This window comes from Homo sapiens, chromosome 8 (genome assembly GCF_000001405.40).
Source record: "Homo sapiens chromosome 8, GRCh38.p14 Primary Assembly".
Taxonomy (NCBI): Eukaryota; Metazoa; Chordata; class Mammalia; order Primates; family Hominidae; genus Homo; species Homo sapiens.
The window spans coordinates 14,332,709-14,352,669 of NC_000008.11; the positions used below are offsets into that span (position 1 = coordinate 14,332,709).

The following is a 19,961-nucleotide window of genomic DNA, read 5'->3' on the forward strand; positions in this document are numbered from 1 at the left end:
CCAGAGTATTCAGTAACTTGATATATAAATGGTAAAATCATAACATTTAATTATATTTAAATTATAAAATTTGGTTTGCAATAGAGTATAGAGTATGTAGATATATAGAATATACTTATATGCATATATATAGTGTGTGTATATATATAATGTTCTCCTATATAGGTTTGTATATATTATATGTGTGTCTATATATCTATACACACATATATATACATATATATACATATATGTGTATATATATAAAATGTTCACATACGAAATGGAGAACGGACCATAGCTATTCAATCCAGTAGGAACACTTGGAACACATACATATTTTAAATTCAATATTTTTGAGAAAAAAATATATTTTTCTACAGGCAATTGGAATCACTGTCAGCAAAAATCAACTGGTATAGCTCAGTCTAATATTAGTTACATGATGCAGATTTCAATGTGCATAGAAACAACATCCACTTTAACTGGAAGTTAAGGTTACCTGCTGGGAACCAAATCAGTGGTTGTGGGAGAGACTTGCTGTAAAAGAATACTATATCGAAAAGCCAAGGGTGCTATCATAAACAAATCATATTTCTTGATGGTAAATGGAGACAACTGCAAAGAGCCTCAGGCATTTAACTTAAGGAAAATAATAAGTAATGGATTAATAATAATGTTTTGTACCCTAAAAATTGCCATCTGTAAGTAGGGGGCTGAGGGACTTCCATATGTTAATCTTTTAACAAGGCAATAAAGACTAAAGGTTCACTATTAGCATGCTTGTCTTTCCCAACTGTGCTTAATAGAATACCAGAATTAATGACCTGGTGAAAAAAAAAAGTTACTTTTTCAAATAAATTTAGAAAACCATTGCATGATATACTCCTACTCAGATATTCATAGTACACATTAGCATATTAACATTCAGATGAGTTTGCAGTAGAGAAACACACTGTGTCTAATACAGAGGTCTCCTAACATTTTGGTCAATGGGTCCTCCCCTCACATAACCCACCTTTTAGAGTAGGTGAAATAATACCCCTTTAAATACACCAGGGAAATACTTTAAATACACCAGGGAAATACAGGGATGAATTATTCATATTTTACCAACTCTGAAGAAAGACCATTTAAAATGGAGTTATATTTTTTAGCATGGAGTCTCAAAAATAGGTGATTAAGGAGTTATAAGCTCCTGTCTCCACAGATGTTTAGGAAGTCTATGTAAAGATTCAGTTGCGTCCTAATGTGACTTCCTAGCTAGTTTTAAATACTGAACATGGCTAGAAATGTGATCTGCTTTACGGGTGTCACTTCCTATTTTCAGTAAAAAATGAGCCAGGGAGGTAATCCTGAATACACCTCTGTTTTTGCAAATATTTGTCTGTTACTATAATTTATTTCCTAAAAGGAGAATCACCTCTTGACTTGAACAAAATCACATTTCTAGACCCTTAAGTTAAGGATAAGACTATGGGGTAGGGTACCCTACCAAAGCACTCCTTAGGGTAAAGCCTTTTATAGGAATTTCTTCTAGACTCATAAGACAACATCTTTAATTTCCACCCTAACTATGGCACTAAATATATTAATAATAGCTCAGTTCATACAGCACTTCAGCAGATATTGAGCCTATGACACATCACAACAATCCTGTAAAACTGACATATTTTTTTCCTCATTTTATGTAACACAGAAAATAAATTAGGTTGTTAGTTTTGTGCACCTAGTTAGCTACTCATCCAGAACACAAGTCCAGTCCTCTCACTCTTAGTCGGGGCAGGTACTACAGGTATAGAACATGTTACATTTATTGTATTATGTAATCCCAATATAGCTTCCCTAATAGTCTTCATTATTAGTTTAACTATTTCTGAGTTAATTTGTATATCTTCTTAATTTATTTGTGCTTTTTTGTTTGTTTCCCTGATTCATTTCCCAGCACAAATTTCTTATTTGCCTCAAATTTGCATTGTGGTATTCTGAAAAGAGAGTTCTGATATGACAAAACTCTAGTTTGGAGTGCTTATAAAGTCCTCCATGAAAACGAAGCCATCTGAACAAACTATGGTTATTTGTACACCCATAGACTGTTTTAAAGGAATCTAAATCTATGTTTTCTGGAAATAAAAAGTTCACTTTTTTACTTCTTCATATATACTTTTTTGTAATACATTCATTATACAGAAGTAACTTGTGTGTGCCTGTGTGTATTTCCGACTGTGTATTTAGAAGAGTTAAGTGGAAGAACAGGTGTAGGTAAGATTAAACTGCTGATCTTAAAAGTACAGATATCCTTCTGAGCTGGGACTGAGGAACTATTAGGTAAATGTCAACAGAGAAAGGACAGAAAGCACATGAAGACACAGATGAGCAAGTTGACTCTCCTTGGGATTAGGCAGCAATATGATTGATAACAGTTTTCTGACGCTGGGTTGCTTTATGGTTCACGAAGCTCCTAATCTCCATGGTGATTTAGGATGTGCTTTATTGAGTTTATAAAACTGTAACATTTAGCCTCTTAGACTAAAGAAGTCCCTTGGAGTTTTAGTGTCTGAAGATCCTTCCAAACATCAAGGAGAACCTTTCATGCAGAAATGCAATGGGTCATCTCTCAACTGAATTTTAAAAGACCCTATAAGCTTCTTTGAAGGGTGCTGTAGATTTCTATCTATCTCACCCTTGAATTCCAAGGATGAATTTTTTTTCCTAAAACATGAAGTCTTGCATCTCTTCTTGAATCTGGTTAATTTCATTACAGATGCTGGTAATCACCCATTTGGAAAATATGTAATATTAGCTTCTTTTTAACATCTTATCCGTTATACCTTATTATACTTCCACATGGCATACTTTCTAAGTTTTATTTGTTTATCAGCTGTCACAGACAGACATACCTTTAGCTAAATCAAGCTCCTGCCACAGGGGAATGGCATATATTATTGTCTCTCTCCAATCCTTTTCCTCCTTGATAATTATCTCTGTCTCATCCTTTGTATAGAAATTCAGACAAATCTTGCTGAAGATATCTTCCATACAAGCTCAGAACTTTCGAGTTACAGCGCCATACACATTTCCTTCAACAGTCTTCCCAGAGCTTGTGCCAGTCTCTATTTGTTTGTGTGTCAGCTTGTCATTATACCTGCATCAGGTTATAAGCTTATTGCAGGCAGGTATACAACATCTCTTTACTCAATGTTAATTCCAAAATTTATTTTTACAACCGTATTTTTTAAAAAAAACTTTTAGGTTCAGGGGTACATCTGCAGGTTTGTTATATAAACTCATGTCATAGGGGTTTGTTATACAGATTATCTCCTCAACAGGACTAATCCTAGTTCCCAGTAGTTATTTATTCTGATCTGCTCCCTCCTCCCACCTTCCATCCTCTAGTAGACCCCAGTGTATATTGTTTCCCCCATGTGTCCATGTGTTCCCATCATTTAGCTCCCTCTTATAAGTGATAACATATAGTATTTGGTTTTCTGCTTCTGTGTTAATTTGCTAAGGATAATGGCCTCTAGTTCCATCCATGTTCCTGCAAAGGACATGATATCATTCTTATTTTTTCTTGGCTACATAGTATTCCATAGTGTATAGGTGCCACATTTTTTATTCAGTCTACAAATGATGGGCATTCAGCCTGCTATTGATGGGCATTTATGTTGATTCTATGTCTTTGATATTATGAATAGTGCTGCAGTGAACATACATGTGCATGTGTCTTTATGATAGAATGATTATATTCCTTTGGGTATATACCCAGTAATGGGATTTCTAGATCTAATGACAGTCCTGTTTTTAGCTCTTTGAGAAACTGCCTCACTGCTTTCCACAATGACTGAAATAATTTACACTCCCATCAACAGTGTATAAGCATTCTCTTTTCTTTGCAACTTCGCCAGTATCTGTTATGTTATGACTTTTTAATCATAGCCATTCTGGCTGGTGTGAGATGATATCTCACGGTGGTTTACAACCAGAGTTTTAAAACCCAGATTTATCTTTTGAATTTGAGACAAAGGGATTCAGCTGCTTACTGCCTACTGTTTTCTGGATTTCACAGGTATCCCAAACCAAATGTGTCTCAAACAAAGTAATCATCTCTCAACTGGAACTGTTTCTTCTGTTGTGCTCCTTACCTCAAAGAATTACTATCATCTCTATTTAATGGAAATCTGTATCTCATCCTGGACTCTTCATTTCTAATCCTCATAATGGACCAGTCACCACATCCCACACACTTGTTTTCAATTGTTCTACTTGCCTTTACTCTGGCACTGTTCCAGGTGTACAGAGGGAAGTGCTGTCCATATGGCCATTAAAGGAAGGACCTATTTTCCCAATTACTGGGAGGACTGTGAGTGAGTATTCTCTGTCTGTAAGCCCTTTCAAGTATCTCCATAGTTCCCTAAAATTTATACACCTTTAGAAGTAGGCCACCCCTCCCAATATATGGCTGGAACTCCCCAGCTGATTGATGGAAGACATGCAGAAGCCTTCCACAAAAAAGTCTGCAATTGTCCCCTTCCTTGTCTATCTTTATTCACCTGTTCTCCTGGCCACTGTCTACAAAACTAGGGCTTAGTTGCAACACAAAGCTGTGTATGAGTTGGCCCTGATAAGGTGGAAGAGACTATTATCTATTTAGAAGGAGTGACAAGCCCAATCAGCAGGTATCAGCAAGACGAGGGAGAGAAGGGGTGAGATTATTTTCTGAGGGTGCTTGATCAGGTGGTCAGAACATAAGATTAGATTTTGAGTACTCTCCTGGGATAAAGAATTTTACTATTGGAAAGGACTACAGGAGACGATTCTAACTTGTTACTAGAATGACTCCCGGAAGTATGGGAAAAGTGATGACCCAGTTAAGTCAGGTTAAAATACCAGAATTGCTATGGCAGATGGTGAAAAAGAGAATGAAAGTCTCAGGAAAGTAGATATAGTGGAATGAACATACTGGGTAGGGTCGGAAAACCTACCAAATGAGTATGATCTATGGAAAAGCACAGAGGACATGCCAATTATCAAGGCCATTAAAAATTCTGGGTGAGAATGATACAAGAATCACCAAGAAGTCCAGTGGTACCTCCCCTGCATGGGTCAGAGCTGATAATAGAAAAGATGGTTATAAAACAGGGCCCACTTTTAGCAATGGAGATGGCAGAGCATTGACACAACAGATATAAATAGCCAGAAGCCGGATGAACAGAATTATGGCAATGAGGGGCCAGGTCAGAGGGACAACCAGGGTGTAACACATAGAAGGTTATAAGGAGATGCTTAATAACTCTTGCTGTCCATGGAGGCTAAGAAAATGTTTCTTCAACAAAGGTCCTGTTCAATTGGTAGCAGGCAAGATATCAAGGATGGATGCACAGGAGACTTAAGGCAGTTACTGCAATAAAGAAGTCAAGATTCCTTGCCCAAGTTTGATCAGTTTTTGGACCCAGAAGCTATTGACCTTCTTAGCAAATTTTGACAGTAAATGGAAAAGTGCAGTCGTCTTAGCCTGAGAAAGGCTCAGACTCCTAAGAAAGGAGGAGCTGGGTCATGCCACAAGATGGGCCTTCTGGTCTCATTTCAATGAAGGATTTGCCCCAACTATTAGGAGCACCAACAATAGAAAACTTAGTTGGCATCCTTGTCAGCAGAATAAAGCCATCTTTCCAAGGGTAGACACCCACGTGGGTAGCTTATGTAACTGACCAAAAATGTGAGAATGTATAGACCCAGCTGTCCCATCTCACCTTTGGACAATTCTCAAGAGCCATTCTAGCTCCCAATATCCTGCTTGGGGGCAGGTGGTGCTTATTCGAGGTTGCAATTGCTCTGTCACAGCTTGATTTCTCTCTCTGCTCCATCCTGCTCCCTGATGGAATGTTATTCTCTTGTTTATTGAGGAATATTTTGTATTGAAATGCAATAAAATGCCTAATACTTTTTAAAAATTAAATTGAAACTCATTAAAATATGCATCTACTTTGTTCCTCATACATTATTTAGTGTTTATTTTTGAAAACTTTCTTATGAAATAGAGTGAACAAACTGGCTTTTTTTGCCTTTACAATAAGTTTTACAGGGGTTTTAAATTGCCAATTTGAAAATTCAAGTATTGATGCTACAAATGTGTATGTAAGTGCCCTATGACAAGAGTGCTCATGTTTTAAGGAGCAGGTAAGAAAAGGATGTCTGTCATTTAAGCCACATTTCTGCACAGTCATTGGTCCTCCTGGCTTCAGCCTGGACAAGTGCACAGACATTGTTAAGGCAAAGGTAAGGCTGATGCTCAAAAATGAAATTGAACTTTAATCTATGTTAGAGAAATTAGTACATTAATATTTCTGCCAAGTGGGAAGAAAATTAGTAAAAAAGGATATTCATGTTGACAACTATAACATATTATGTTTTTTTTTCTCCAGAGTGTTCTATTAAAGAAAAATCAGTGCTACGAAAGCACTTTACTTCTACTGCAAACTTTCTTCTACAGTAATTCAATTATCATAGACTTCCTTAAAGTATTTGTAAACAACAGTAATTGTGTGTAATCGCTCAAGGCCAGACAAATAATGCAGATCTAATTTGGTTTACACCTGCCTAAAAGCCAGAGAAAGAACACCTCTTCTCTATGTGAATGTTAAACCAAGTTCTGAAAACAATTGCTGAGAATGGTTGTTCTCTAAATGTTTAAATACAGAAACATTGACAAAACTCTTAGGACACAAATTATGATGTTTAATGGGATATTAGGATAAGTTATTGCAGGTAATGACCTCACCATCCATGCTCTTCCAAGCTTTCAGTACAAAATTCAGAATCATCGTCAATGTTTTCTTTTTATTCCACACGACGAATCAGTTGCCATATCCTATGAATATGTTTGATAATAGGCTTGCATGGTTTATTTGTGTGCAGCCATGTTAGGAGGTTGGTACTTGAATAAAACCTAAGCATCTATTAGTGGAACACTTGCTGAGTAAAGTATAGTGCATGAACACCACACAGTATCATGCAGCTACCTGAAGCAAAGGAATAGATCTAGCCAAAAGGATGGAACTTAAAAAGACGAGTACATAGCACATAAGAAAGTGAGAACTAAAATAATATATGTAAATTTAAAATATGTGCATAAAATTGACGAATATATTGGAAAAAACACATGGGAATGAAATAATTACTAAAAAGAATAGAATACTATAAAGAGAGAACAGATGCTAATAAGAGAAATGGAACGAAAATATAAAAAATGAAATGAAAGAATGAATTCAACATTAATAGTAAAGCATAACAGAGGAACACTGAAGGAACAAATGATACAGACACTATTTCATCAGCTGACAAACAGAATGACGTCAATCTTCTACACGTGAAGTTAAAAATAAAGCAAAATCTGCTGAAGATATGGTCAATTACATTTCCCTTTTATCTTCACTGCTGTTGTTTCAATTCTGTTTTTTTCTTTCATCTCCAGTCTATGATATAATATCATTTTTCTAAAGGTTCTTATTGTCATTAATGTATCCAGTTAAGATTTCTTCCCATGTTGCTAACACTCTTATACTTTCAAAAAGCCAATTTTGTCAGTATCCAAGGAAAATATGACCAAAAATGCTTTTCATACTCTAAACCATACTCTGGTTAGTTATGATCCAATTACAGCAACAGTTTTATTGTTTTACAAGCATTCCCTTAATGTGTCCTGTTCCATCTTCTTTGCTTCTATAACAGCCTATTTTTCTTTTATTCACGTATTTATTGCAACACATTACAGTTCACTGGTTTGCTGAATACTCTATCCCTGTGGTCTTATTTTAATAAGGGAAGAGATAATGTCTTCCTTGTCTTTTTATCTCCAGAATTTATCGAAATGACCTTTATGTACAAGCACAAGTACTTGTAAGTACTTGACAAACGTTCACTGAGGTTGAAAAAATGAGTTTATAGAATGTTCAAAAGTAACTAGAGAGCCTATGACACAGTAGCTTATAGCAGACTAATGCATCCACTGATAATAGCTAGAAAATCTCTGATAAATAATAAAGTGCAAAACCAATTCTTTTTGGAGGTAACATGCTTTTTTATTGTGGTAAAATATACTTAAAATAAAATTAACCATTTAAATAATTTTTAAGGGTATGGTTCAGTGGCATTAAGTACATTCACAATGCTGAGTAACCATCATCACTCTCCATCTTAAGAAATTTTTATTAACCCCAGCTAAGACATTATACCCATTAAACAACAACTCCTGAATCCCCTCTCCCCCAGCCCCTGGTAACTGCTATTCTACCTTCTATTTCTCTGAACTGCTCGAGGAGCCTCAAGTAAGTGTAATCATACAACAATTGTCCTTTTGTATATGACTTATTTAACTGTGTCTTCAAGAGTCATCTATGTTGTAGCATGTGTCAAAATTTCCTTCCTTTTTGCTGCTAAATAATATTATGCTATCTGTATATACCATATTTTATGTATTTGTTTATCTGTCAATGAGCACTTGGGTTGCAACCTTCATTTGAATATTGTGAATAACTTTGCTATGAACAGGGTGTACAAATATCTGAGACTCTGCTTTCAATTCTTTTGAGTATATATCCGAAAGCAGATTTGCTGCATCATGTGGTAATTTTACATTCAATATTTTGCGTAATTGTGTACTGTATTTTCACAATGCTTGTACCATTTTACATCTCTCTCAGCAATGCACAAGACTTCCAATTCCTCCACATCATCACTAACACTTGTTACCTTTTGTTTGTTTTTTTAATAATAGCCATCCTAATGGGTGTGAAGTGGGGTAACATCATTTTGAGCTAGCTAGGTTTGAAGTGACAAGACGCTGAAAATCAGAGATGTTTATCTTTCAAGCCCTTGTTCATTTTTTTCTCAAACTGCTTGCCAACTGGTATGGTTTGGCTGTGTCCCCTCCCAAATCTCAACTTGAATTGTATCTCCCAGAATTCCCATGTGTTATAGGAGGGACCCAAGAGGAAGTAATTGAATCATGGGGGCCAGTCATTCCTGTGCTATTCTTGTTTGAATAAGTCTCATGAGATCTGATGGGTTTAATCGGGGGTTTTCACTTTTGCATCTTCCTCATTTTTCTCTTGCCACCACCATGTAAGAAGTGCCCTTCAGCTCCCGCCATGATTCTGAAGCCTCCCAACTATGTGGAACTAGAAGTCCAATTAAACCTCTTTTTCTTCCCAGCTTCAGGTCTGGCTTTATCAGCAGTGTGAAAACAGAATAATACAGTAAATTTGTACCAGTAGAATGTGGTGTTGTTGAAAAGATACCCTAAAATGAGGAAGTGACTTTGGAACTGGGTAACAGGCAGAGGTTGGAACAGTTTGGAGGGCTCAGAAGAAGACAGAAAAATGTAGGAAAGTTTGGAACTTCCTACAAACTTGTTGAATGGCTTTGCCCAAATGCTGATAGGGATATGAACAATAAGTTCCAGGCTTATTCCAGGTCTCAGATGGAGATAAGGAACTTGTTGGGAACTGGAGCAAAGCTGACTCTTGTTACGTTTTAGCAAAGGGATTGGCAGCATTTTGCTCCTGCCCTAGAGATTTGTGGAACTTTGAATTTTGGAGAAATGATTTAGAATATCTGGCAGAAGAAATTTCTTTTTTTTTCTTTTTGAGGTGCAGTCTCACTCTGTCGCCCAGGCTGGAGTGCACTGGCGCTATCTCGGCTCACTGCAAGCTCTGCCTCCCGGGTTCATGCCATTCTCCTGCCTCAGCCTCCCAGTAGCTGGGACTACAGGTGCCCGCCATCACGCCCGGCTAATTTTTTGTATTTTTAGTAGAGATGGGGTTTCACCATGTTAGCCAGGATGGTCTCGATCTCCTGAACTGGTGATCCACCTGCCTTAGCTTCCCAAAGTGCTGGGATTACAGGCGTGAGCCACCGCGCCCAGCCTGGTGGAAGAAATTTCTCAGCAGCAGAGCATTCAAGAGGTGACTTGGGTGCTATTAAAGGCATTCAGTTTTAGTCGGGAAGCAGAGCATAAAGGCTTGGAAATTATGCAGGCTGATTATGTGATAGAAAAGAAAAACCCATTTTCTGGGGAAAAATTCAAGCCGGCTGCAGAAATTTGCATAAGTAGCAAGGAACCTAGTGTTAATCACCAAGACTATGGGAAAAATTATCTCCAGGCCATGACAGCGACCTTCACCGAAGGCCCTCTCTTCACAGGCCTGGAGGCCCAGGAGGAAAAAGTGGTTTTGTGGGCTGGGCCCAGGGTCCCTGGGCTGTGTGTGCAGCCTAGGGATTTGGTGCCCTGTGTCCCAGCCACTCCTGCCCTGACTGAAAGGGGCCAAGGTACAGCTTGGGCTGTGACTTCAGAGGGTGGAAGCCCCAAGCCTTAGCAACTTCCACATGGTGTTGAGCCTACAGGTGCACAGAAGTCAAGAAATGAGGTTTGGACACCTCTGCCTAAATTTCAGAAGATGTATGGAAACACTTGGATGCCCAGGCAAAAGTTTGCTGCATGGGCAGGGCCCTCATGGAGAACCTCTGCTAGTGCAGTCCAGAAGGGAAATGTGGGGTCAGAGCCCCCACACAGAGTTCCTACTGGGGCACTGCCTAGTGGAGCTGCAAGAAGAGGGCCACCATCCTCCAGACCCAGAATGGTAGATCCACTGTCAGCTTGCACCATGTGCCTGGAAAAGCCACAGACACTCAACACCAGCCTGTAACATTTAATTCCAGGTCTGTCAAGGCAGTCAGAAATGGAGGGACTAAGATCCTGGGAAAAAGAGAGATGAAGAGAGTTATAACTTGGACTCTACGTATGTTTTCCCTCAAGTCATTTGCTGATTAGAGGCTAAGGAGCTAAATTTAAATATATAAGAATTTCAAGAAAATGTTCAGAAATAGCATAGTGCTGCAGAACAAAAATTAAATACTAGTGCTCAGTCAGGGGAAGGGGTTCTAGTAAATATTGCAGTGTTCATTTCGGAGCCATAGAGGATTGTATCTTAGAGACAGAATAATCTAGATTCAGAGGAGACTCACAATATCTGAATCACAGTGTCATGTCATCGCCAACCTTAATTTTATTTAGTGAGCAGAGGGTAAATCCTCTCTAAGCAAAGATAACATTATAGAGAGTATTTATCATTTTTTTCAGACACTAAATCTAGAGTTTATTCAGAAACACCTATCACACCAAGAATTAGTACTAAAGGGGAAAAAGAAGCAGTGCAAATTAAAAAAAAGAGGTGATCCAATTGAGGATTCACATATTGGTTCAAAATAATTATAATTCAAGTATTCAGAAAAATATATAAGAGGATACAAAATTTCATGAAGGAACTGCAATCCACGAAAAAGAATTAAATGGAAATTCCAGAAATGAACAATTCAATATTTGATGTTAAGAACTTTATTGATGGGCACAGCGAGAGATTGGGAACTGCTAAAGACAGAACCATTGAAATCAATAAGATGTTTCATTCACAAATGCGTGGATAGAAACCAAAAACAAGTGAATAGGGGTACAGAGGAATAGAGGAGACCAGTAGACCTTAGATAAGGAAAATATCTAAGCTATTTTAATTGAAGAATAATGGATACTAAATTTAACAAATAACTATCCAGTAATAGATTCAAGAAGTCTATGAAACTGGAACCAGGAAAAATACAAAAAAAAAGCTACACTATATACAGTGTGGTAAGGCTAATGCAAATCAAAAAGAAAGACAATCTTCAAATCAGTAACTGAAAAAAATACATTAACTATAGAATAACAACAATAAAACTGACAGCTAACTTCTTAAAAAATTATAAGAAACAGAGCAGATAAACAACATCTTAAAAACCTGAAAGAAATTAACGACCAACCTACACCTTATAACAAATAAAAGTAAATCTCTACACAATGCAAAAGAGAAAGGGAAAAGGGGGGAACGAAAGGCTTAGAAAAGCAGAAATAAAATTTGCAATCTGATGGTGACATGAATATGTATGCAGAAAATGTAAGTAATGCACAGGATGAATAACTAGAATTAATATAACGACTTGAGTTAAATTACTGAATGAAACAGTCAATTGTGGTTTTATACATGAGACCAGCTACAAATGAAAATATAAACCACGATGATATAGCAACATAAACCCATCAAAATTACTAAAACTACAATTTTTTTTTAATAATCTCAAGTTTAGGAGAGAACGTGAAGTAATGAGAATTTCTACATTGCAGAGGGTTTCTAATGATAGTGGATTTCTACGATACAACTAATTTAGGGCAAAATTTTGACAGTAATTTCACTTGTAGGCATACACACTGGCAAAATAAAAGCATAAATACAAGTAAATGCAAATGTACGTGTGCATATACACACACAATTTTTTTCATATTCTGTAGAGAATTCCTATTAAACAGTAAGATAACCAACACAATGGAAAATTAAGCCAATGAACTGAAATGGAAACTTCATAGAAAAGGATAGTAAAATACCCGTAAACTTATGAAAAGGTGGTTAACCTCATTACTCATCAGCGACATGCCAATTAAACCACAAGTTTTCACTACACATCCATTAGAGTCAGAAATCTTAAAAAGAATGGCACTATCAAGAACTGCTAAGAATGTGAAACACGTGGAACCTCTCATATACTACCCGGTGAGAAGGCACATTTGGAAAACTGTTTGCAGATCTACTTATGCTAAATTCTGGGATATATGTATGTCCTCTGACCTAGAATTCAAGTCCTCAGAATACACCCAGAAAAAAATGTGTGAATGTTTCTTACAAATGGCAAATAAATGTATGGGTATAGGTTATGGAGAAAAGTATAACACAACAAACACATTATCTCTGCAGTTATCTGTTTTCCTTACGAAGAGAGGTCTCCCTAATCTCCATTGGGTTTAGAAGCTCTGTTTAATAACGTGAGTTAAGCCTAAGTCTAGTGCTATTGAAAACTTATTTCCCAGCTTTCCCAGAAGTTTGAATTCCATTGCTCAGTTCCTAAAGATTTGTTTAAAAAGAGAAAAAGGTTCAACTCTAGCCTGGGCTAATCTACTAGGCATTCCAAAGTTTAATATCATTGACTTCAATGGAAAGAAAATAGCTATTGCAGTCCTAGATCATGATTCTAGACCAAACTCCATCCCTTCCTACTGTGTGACTTGATCAAATCCCTCTGAACTATATGACATTCTGGAAAAGACAAAATCATGAACACAGTCAAAAGATCAGTGGTTGCCAAGAATTCAGGGTAGGGAGGAAGGGATGTCTCAGTAGAACAAAGGGAATTTTTAGGGCAGAGAAACTATTTCACATTATACTGCAGTGGTGGATACATGTCATTGTATATTTGTCAAACCCCCTAGAATATACAACACAAAGAGTAAATTCTAATGTGAATTATGAATTTTAGTTAATAATTATATGTCAATATCGGCTCTGTTATGTATCAGTATTGACTCATCAGTTGTAACAAATGTATCACAATAATACAATACGTTACTAATAGGAGAAACTGGGGTTGTGGAGTGAGTTGATATATGGGAATTGTTTGTACATTCTGCTCATTTTCCTGTAAACCTAAAACTCCTCAAAAAGTAAAATCTATTAATTAAAAAATTCTACTGTAGTATTTTAATATCTTTGAGATAAAATATACATTAGGAAACAAGGATCATGCATTATATAGGAACAAAACATTCTACTGACTTTGTCTTATTTGGGGAATTTAATTCACTTTGAGTGATTTACTAAAATTCTGACATAATAAAATGGTGAAAAAGAACTATATATAAATGCTAATTAGGATACTAAGGAGGCTGGTTAGGTGAACCCACTCATTATTTCAAGCCATAGAGTTACATAGTGCATTTTGTTAGAAATATTTTAAAAGTAGGCATATGTCAAATGCATATAAGCAATAAATCTTATATTCATTTATCTTATCACAAAATAAAATATCACATGGAAAGTTTTACAATAAAACAAAATAAAACTGAAGCTGTTTTACATTATAAGGGAAGAATAATTTGAGTTGAAATATAAAATCAGATACAGACCATACTTTAATATATTTAATAATTTTTGTAGTTAATGTTTTAGAAACAATTGCATTTTATCCTTCTCTGTGATACATAAATATTTGTGTGCGCGCATGTTTGTTATTTTTATTTTAAACTAAGAATAAAGTTTAGGGCGTTTCCTTTTTTTCTTTCCCATCTTATAAACATTTCAATCAAAATTATTATTTCGGACAGTGGCTTTGATAACATATTTGTAAATAAGTCTTCCATTACATTTATTTCCTTAATTTTCATAATAAAATGCTTATCCTAACATTTATTATCCTTATCAAGAAAACTAATGCATCTGTCCTTAATCAGCCATAGAGAATATTAGCCCTCGTTAGTTGCCAGAGGCTACAATTTCCCATTAACATTCTAGCTGAGAGACATTATGTTATGTTAAAGAAAAAATCTATGAGAAAAACTACTCATTTTTCTTAGAAGTCTACGATCTAACATTTGATAGAGCCTGGCATCAGAAAGACTTCATATTGAGCTAATACGAGTGTGGCCTCTGGCAGAATTCCTACACTGAAGAGAACTTCAGTGCAATGTCTGGAGCTTTTACTGAGGATTCCTACAATAATTTGCTACATGAATTCTACTTCTTAAATTGCCACAAAACTAGTGTTGAGAACATTTTTCATTAAATTATTAATTGTTCTCCATATGTGATTAATTGCATTAGAAATTTAGTAACAGGAAAAAAGTTATGTTCTTCAGGAAATTGTGTGACTTTTCTTTTCACATAATAGTTTAGTCACTGCATTAAAATTTTATGTTTTGTCATAAAATTACCACAGACTTTGTATTTAATTTTTTTCTCCCACTTTTTTTTCTACTTTATGAATCTACATATACTTTATAAAATAAAAATTATAATTATAAAAAAAAATACATATACACATAGGTAAATCTCAAGATTAAATAAAATTATTTTCATCAAATTTTTAGAGATTATTTATTTATTTAAAATACTTACCATATGTCACGTATGTAATTCACTTTGGGAAGCCATGGGAAAGAACATCAATGAGATTTCTATTTACACTGTCTGTGTACTTTTAGGTCTATAACTTGAAATAATTCTATTCATACACCAAAGAAGTGAACGAAATACATGTACTCAGGTTGTAACCAAGTGCCTCAGCTTTAAAATGGATTTTAAAACTTTATTTTCTCTAAACTGAGAATATAGCATTAAAATGTACTTTGCAACTCCCTCTTTCTCTTCCTTTCCCACCAGACATTCCCTTGCATCATGCACGCTTCTCTACATACTTTCTTAGAAATTCCAGGGGTACATCTTACAAGAAACCAGGCACGGAGACCCAGCTGCAGACTTCTCCCCAACCCAAGGATTACTTCAAGGTGGTTCATCTGCAACTCAGCTGTAACCAATATGGTATCAATTCACACCCCAGACAAACTCAAGATAGCCATTGGAACAAGACATGCAGACCTTTATCCTGCACCACTCCTGCATGTTTCCCATACCAAGATTCCCCTTTTAAATCTCTCCACTCACACCAAAAATTTGAGATGGTTTCTTTGCAGCTTGAATCCAGACATCTCCCCAAGTGCTGGCATTTGGAATAAAAGTTACCTTCCTTTCACCACACCTCACTTCTTGTGTCCCTGGCTTTTCGAGCAGTGAGCAACTGAACCTGAGTTCAGTTACAGGATCAATAAATGTCCACAAACTCAGTAGACATATGTAACTACCATTATGCAGTATATTTGAGTCATATATATTCGTTCGTCTCTAATCCCATAGATTGAAATGGTTTTGAATATAAATTATATCTTGTTCATCAATGTATCCATAGTGCCAGCCGAATGCTGGCATACAACTGAAACTTGGCATATATTCGCTGAAAAAAATGATAGCCATTAAATATAAGGTATGGCTTATTCTCCCAAGGAACGCACATTATAGTTGGAAAGATATCTAACACACATGAAAATTCAAAAGCTGATTTGGTGTAAGAAGAACATAATCTATATTCTCAAGAGACTTTATGGCTAAGAATATATCATTCAGCATTTACAAAAGGTTAAAGTACTGCTTTTTCTCAACCAAATACATTAAATACAAACATCATTTTCTAAACTTTACAAAACTCTTCATTTAATTTTTAATTTTTACCTAAAACACTTTTAGGATCTCTACGCAGCAATGGAAAGTATATAGAATTTTACAAAATTTATTTACTGGACTCATTTTTACTGTGTTACGTAAATATATAAAACTTAGTAGAGTCATGTTCCAAACTAATAGTAATCATCCAAATCCTTTTTAATACTAAGAGGAATGCATTTTCCTTAGAGACAACATTGTAAATTGTGGGTAGATTTCAGACTAGCTCACTAATCTCAAATCTATTATTTAACATTCGTATGTTGTCAGTAATAGGAAACACATCCTAACCAATATGCATAGTAATGTCCATATGGAAAAATTAATTCGCATTACCAAAATCGGTTGCCTGGAACTATCTTTGCAGGGAGAAGGTACTCCTTCAATTCCCTTTTTCTCCCAACTCCTCACCTATAAACTATGTGATAAAATGAGAAACTTCTTTAACTCAGTGAAGAAGACATGGGTAGTTCCCCACAAAAATGTTGTGCTCCCCTTTTATAGTATATATTTGTGGATTGGTAAAAACTACCTAGACAGGGTCTAGATTCTCTGCAGGCTTTCCCCTATGTCAACATGGGATTTTCTAACTAATTCTTGCCATGGAATTTTCGTAAGCAATAAGGCATGTGTCAATTTAGGATTTTTAAGAAGCATATGTGTCATCTTTACCTATTCTCCCATCTCCAACATTGGGGGTAAAAGACTCTGAGATCCTAGTGGAGGACAGATTAACAAGGAGGAAAACCCCTGCTCTTCTGTTTATCATATGCAGGAAAGCCACTTACCAAATAAAAACAAGCCCACAGGACTCTTAAATGACTGAGAAATAAACTGCTGTGTTAAATCTTTGAAATTGTAAGACTTAATTCTCAGAGTAGCTTATAGTACCTTAATATATTTACTATGTCTCAAAGTGTATCTTCTGGAATAACAGTCCAAGTAGACATGCCATAAAAAAGTTCTATGACCAAATAAGTTAGAAATCATATATCCCTTTTACAGACACATAATAGATACAGGATAATCAAAAGCTCAGGAAAGTCGTGTAGCTTTAAAAAATGTTTAACTGTGTTTAATCTAGCAATTTCCAAATTTACTGGCAAATTAAATCCTTTATGGCATAAGAACTATTAATGTTGTATATAAATGCTATTAATCAGAAAACTCTTTGGAAACTATTTCCTTGGCTAAATGATTGATAAAATCCCCTCGTGACTTGGAAAATGTCTTTGGAAGGTGAACGATAGAGAAAGGGCTTAGAGCTTAAAAAACAAATGAACAAACAAACAAATACTGAAGATCTGGAGACATTAATCTGTTTATGATGGGAACAGTTTATATTCAATAATCTTAAGGAGCAAAACTTTTTTTTTTTTTACCTAAGTATGCTTTTTCAAGTCCTGAAGATCTGGGGATATGCATCTGTTTGTGATGGGAACAGGTCATATTCAATAATCTTAAGAAGCAAATATATTTTTTACCCAAGTATGCTTTTTCAAGTATTTTAGCTTGGAGTTGTATTGAATACTATGGTATGTCATCCTAATCATTCTGTTGCTACTGAAGCATTCATTTCCCATGCTATCAGGAGTGTTAGGGGCTGGTGATTCTCTGCTAAATCCCTTTCCAGGAATTGCCTAAGCTGAAGATGTGATACCCCATCTATTTGGAGAGTGTGCACCCAGTGACCGGTACATACAGAGGTGTAAGGTTCTGGCCCTGTCGCCTCTAGAAAGGCCCACTCTGAAGGTCAATTACTGCTCCATGGCTCCCTGTGGAAGAGCTGAGGTCTTTGTGGAATTGCATGACAGTTCAGCCTCTCCCTCTGTCCAATGCTCCTTCTTTCCCTCTCTCCAATCTTGAAAGCCCTCTCTGTTAATCCTCCTGAACAGAAAACTCTCTCTCAGTAACTATTTTCTAGTAATCGTAATCTAAGGCAAGTGTATACCATGAACTTGCATTATTATTGTATCGTTTAAACATATTTTGCTGAAATAACTTAAATGATTAATATTATTTGGTTACAGGTGCTTTAAATATATTCACTGCTAATATTTCAGGAGAGTTTTCCGTGTTGGATAAAACCTGAGGTTCCATTGCTCATGTCTATGCATGCGTAGGGTCAGTCCTCTCAGCTTTTGCTGTACAACTTGACTGCTTGTTAACACTTCTGCAATACTTCTGTAGTGGCATTTTGTTTAGGTATGTATAACTTTCCTCTTCCTAATTTTCATTAATGCTGTTACTCTGAAACCCAGAAAGTCTACCTATGAAAATAAAAGTACTGCGTCTGTAAAAGAGCTACATTCTTATTACTGGTATTACCGGTATTGTAAGATAAGCCTTGCTGTTATTTCCTAGTTAAACTTATTCAGATAAATTGATTAATTTTACCTCATGGGCATGTAAATTATTATTTTACTCCTTTGCATTAACTGTTAGAAAATTAATGACAATTTTTTGGCCTAGTCTAGCATGGATAGAAATTTCTTCTTGCAGTTTGGCTATCAACTTCAGCCTTGTCTTCACCTTCTCTTACCTACCCTCATTTTTTATCTGCCATAATTGCTTCATGATCAATTTTAAATGTTTACTTTGTCTGATTGCATTATTTTACCCAGTGTTTGAATACCTTTCTAGAAAAAAGTGGCTTACTATAAATTATCATATAATTTAGAAGGATATATAATATATAATGTATATATTATATAGGAAATTGTGACAAAATTCAAATAGAACATGATGTCATTTTAGTACCCACAAGGCAAATACAAAGATAGATGATAACACAAAGAATTTTAGATTACTTTTACATAAAAAAAGAATTTGCTTGTAATGGTACAATGATTAATTTCTTTATATTATGATTTTGAATTCTGCTGACTGATTTGTTCAAATGTCTTAACTATTTGGCAAATGGGTCTCTTTTCAGCTTTTGCTTTATCTCAAGAATAGGCATAAAAGCTAAGCATTGGGCTTTTAAGTAGATAAAGCTGGAATGAATTCCCAAACCCATGCTTTTTATATGAACACGGACACTTTGTTTAATTTCATTTTTCACATATATAAAGTACAAATAATACCGTCAACCTCGATGTCCTTTTACAATTATTTAGATATATTGTATGAAATACATAGCACGGTACCTTATTTATAGTAGAATAGTTGTAAACAGTAGTATTATTTACATTACATATTCTTTAATGAAAGTTAGCTTCTTTCATTAAAATTCACTCAACTTAGATTAAGAATGAAATGCATCTTTCAGGGTAAATTTGAAGTAAAAGAGTTACAAAAACTTGTGTGAAGACTCAATTGAAAATATAACTTTAGGAATTTCCAGGCTGAAGCTAATTGTTAGATCTAGGAATCAGTATCAGCTACTGAGTGAGGAAGGTGCAGGAAAAGAGGAGAGAAGTAACGTATAAGGAGTAGAGTGTAAGGATGATAGCTTATATTAAGGGTAAATTTTGTCTTGGGAGGAAAGGGCAAGAGCACACAAGAAAAGAAATACGGCACAAAATGTGTAAAGAAAGGGAAGAAATAAGTTTGTGTAGTTTTATAAAAGCCAAGAAAATTTGACGTAAGCAGAGACATCAAAGACAGAAACCAGGATTCAAGGTTACTCTTCTGTCTCAAATGACAGCACACTGAATATTACCAGGTGCAAAAGATACTGGGATTCTCTAGTGCCTCTGGCACAAACAACCAGGAAGAGAAGTAGACCTACGTGTCCTCTGGCTTGGGTAACAAGCCCGTAGAGCTTGTTCCCAAAGACAAATGGATCAA

At 35.6% G+C, this 19,961-nt stretch overlaps 1 protein-coding gene across 4 annotated transcripts in view, besides 1 other annotated feature; it reads right to left on the reverse strand.

The window, feature by feature from the left end:
* Window positions 1-19,961, reverse strand: part of SGCZ (sarcoglycan zeta) — a 1,153,587-nt gene that overhangs the window by 247,864 nt on the left and 885,762 nt on the right. The gene's annotated exons all lie outside the window — the stretch shown is intronic.
* Window positions 18,626-18,795: an enhancer, noted in NCBI's record as "experimental_102128 CRE fragment used in MPRA reporter constructs". NCBI's record gives its function as "activates a minimal promoter by MPRAs in K562 erythroleukemia cells, with activity observed for the introgressed 8:14208928 variant allele {active_cell/tissue: K562}" and the evidence as "EXISTENCE:reporter gene assay evidence [ECO:0000049][PMID:34662402]".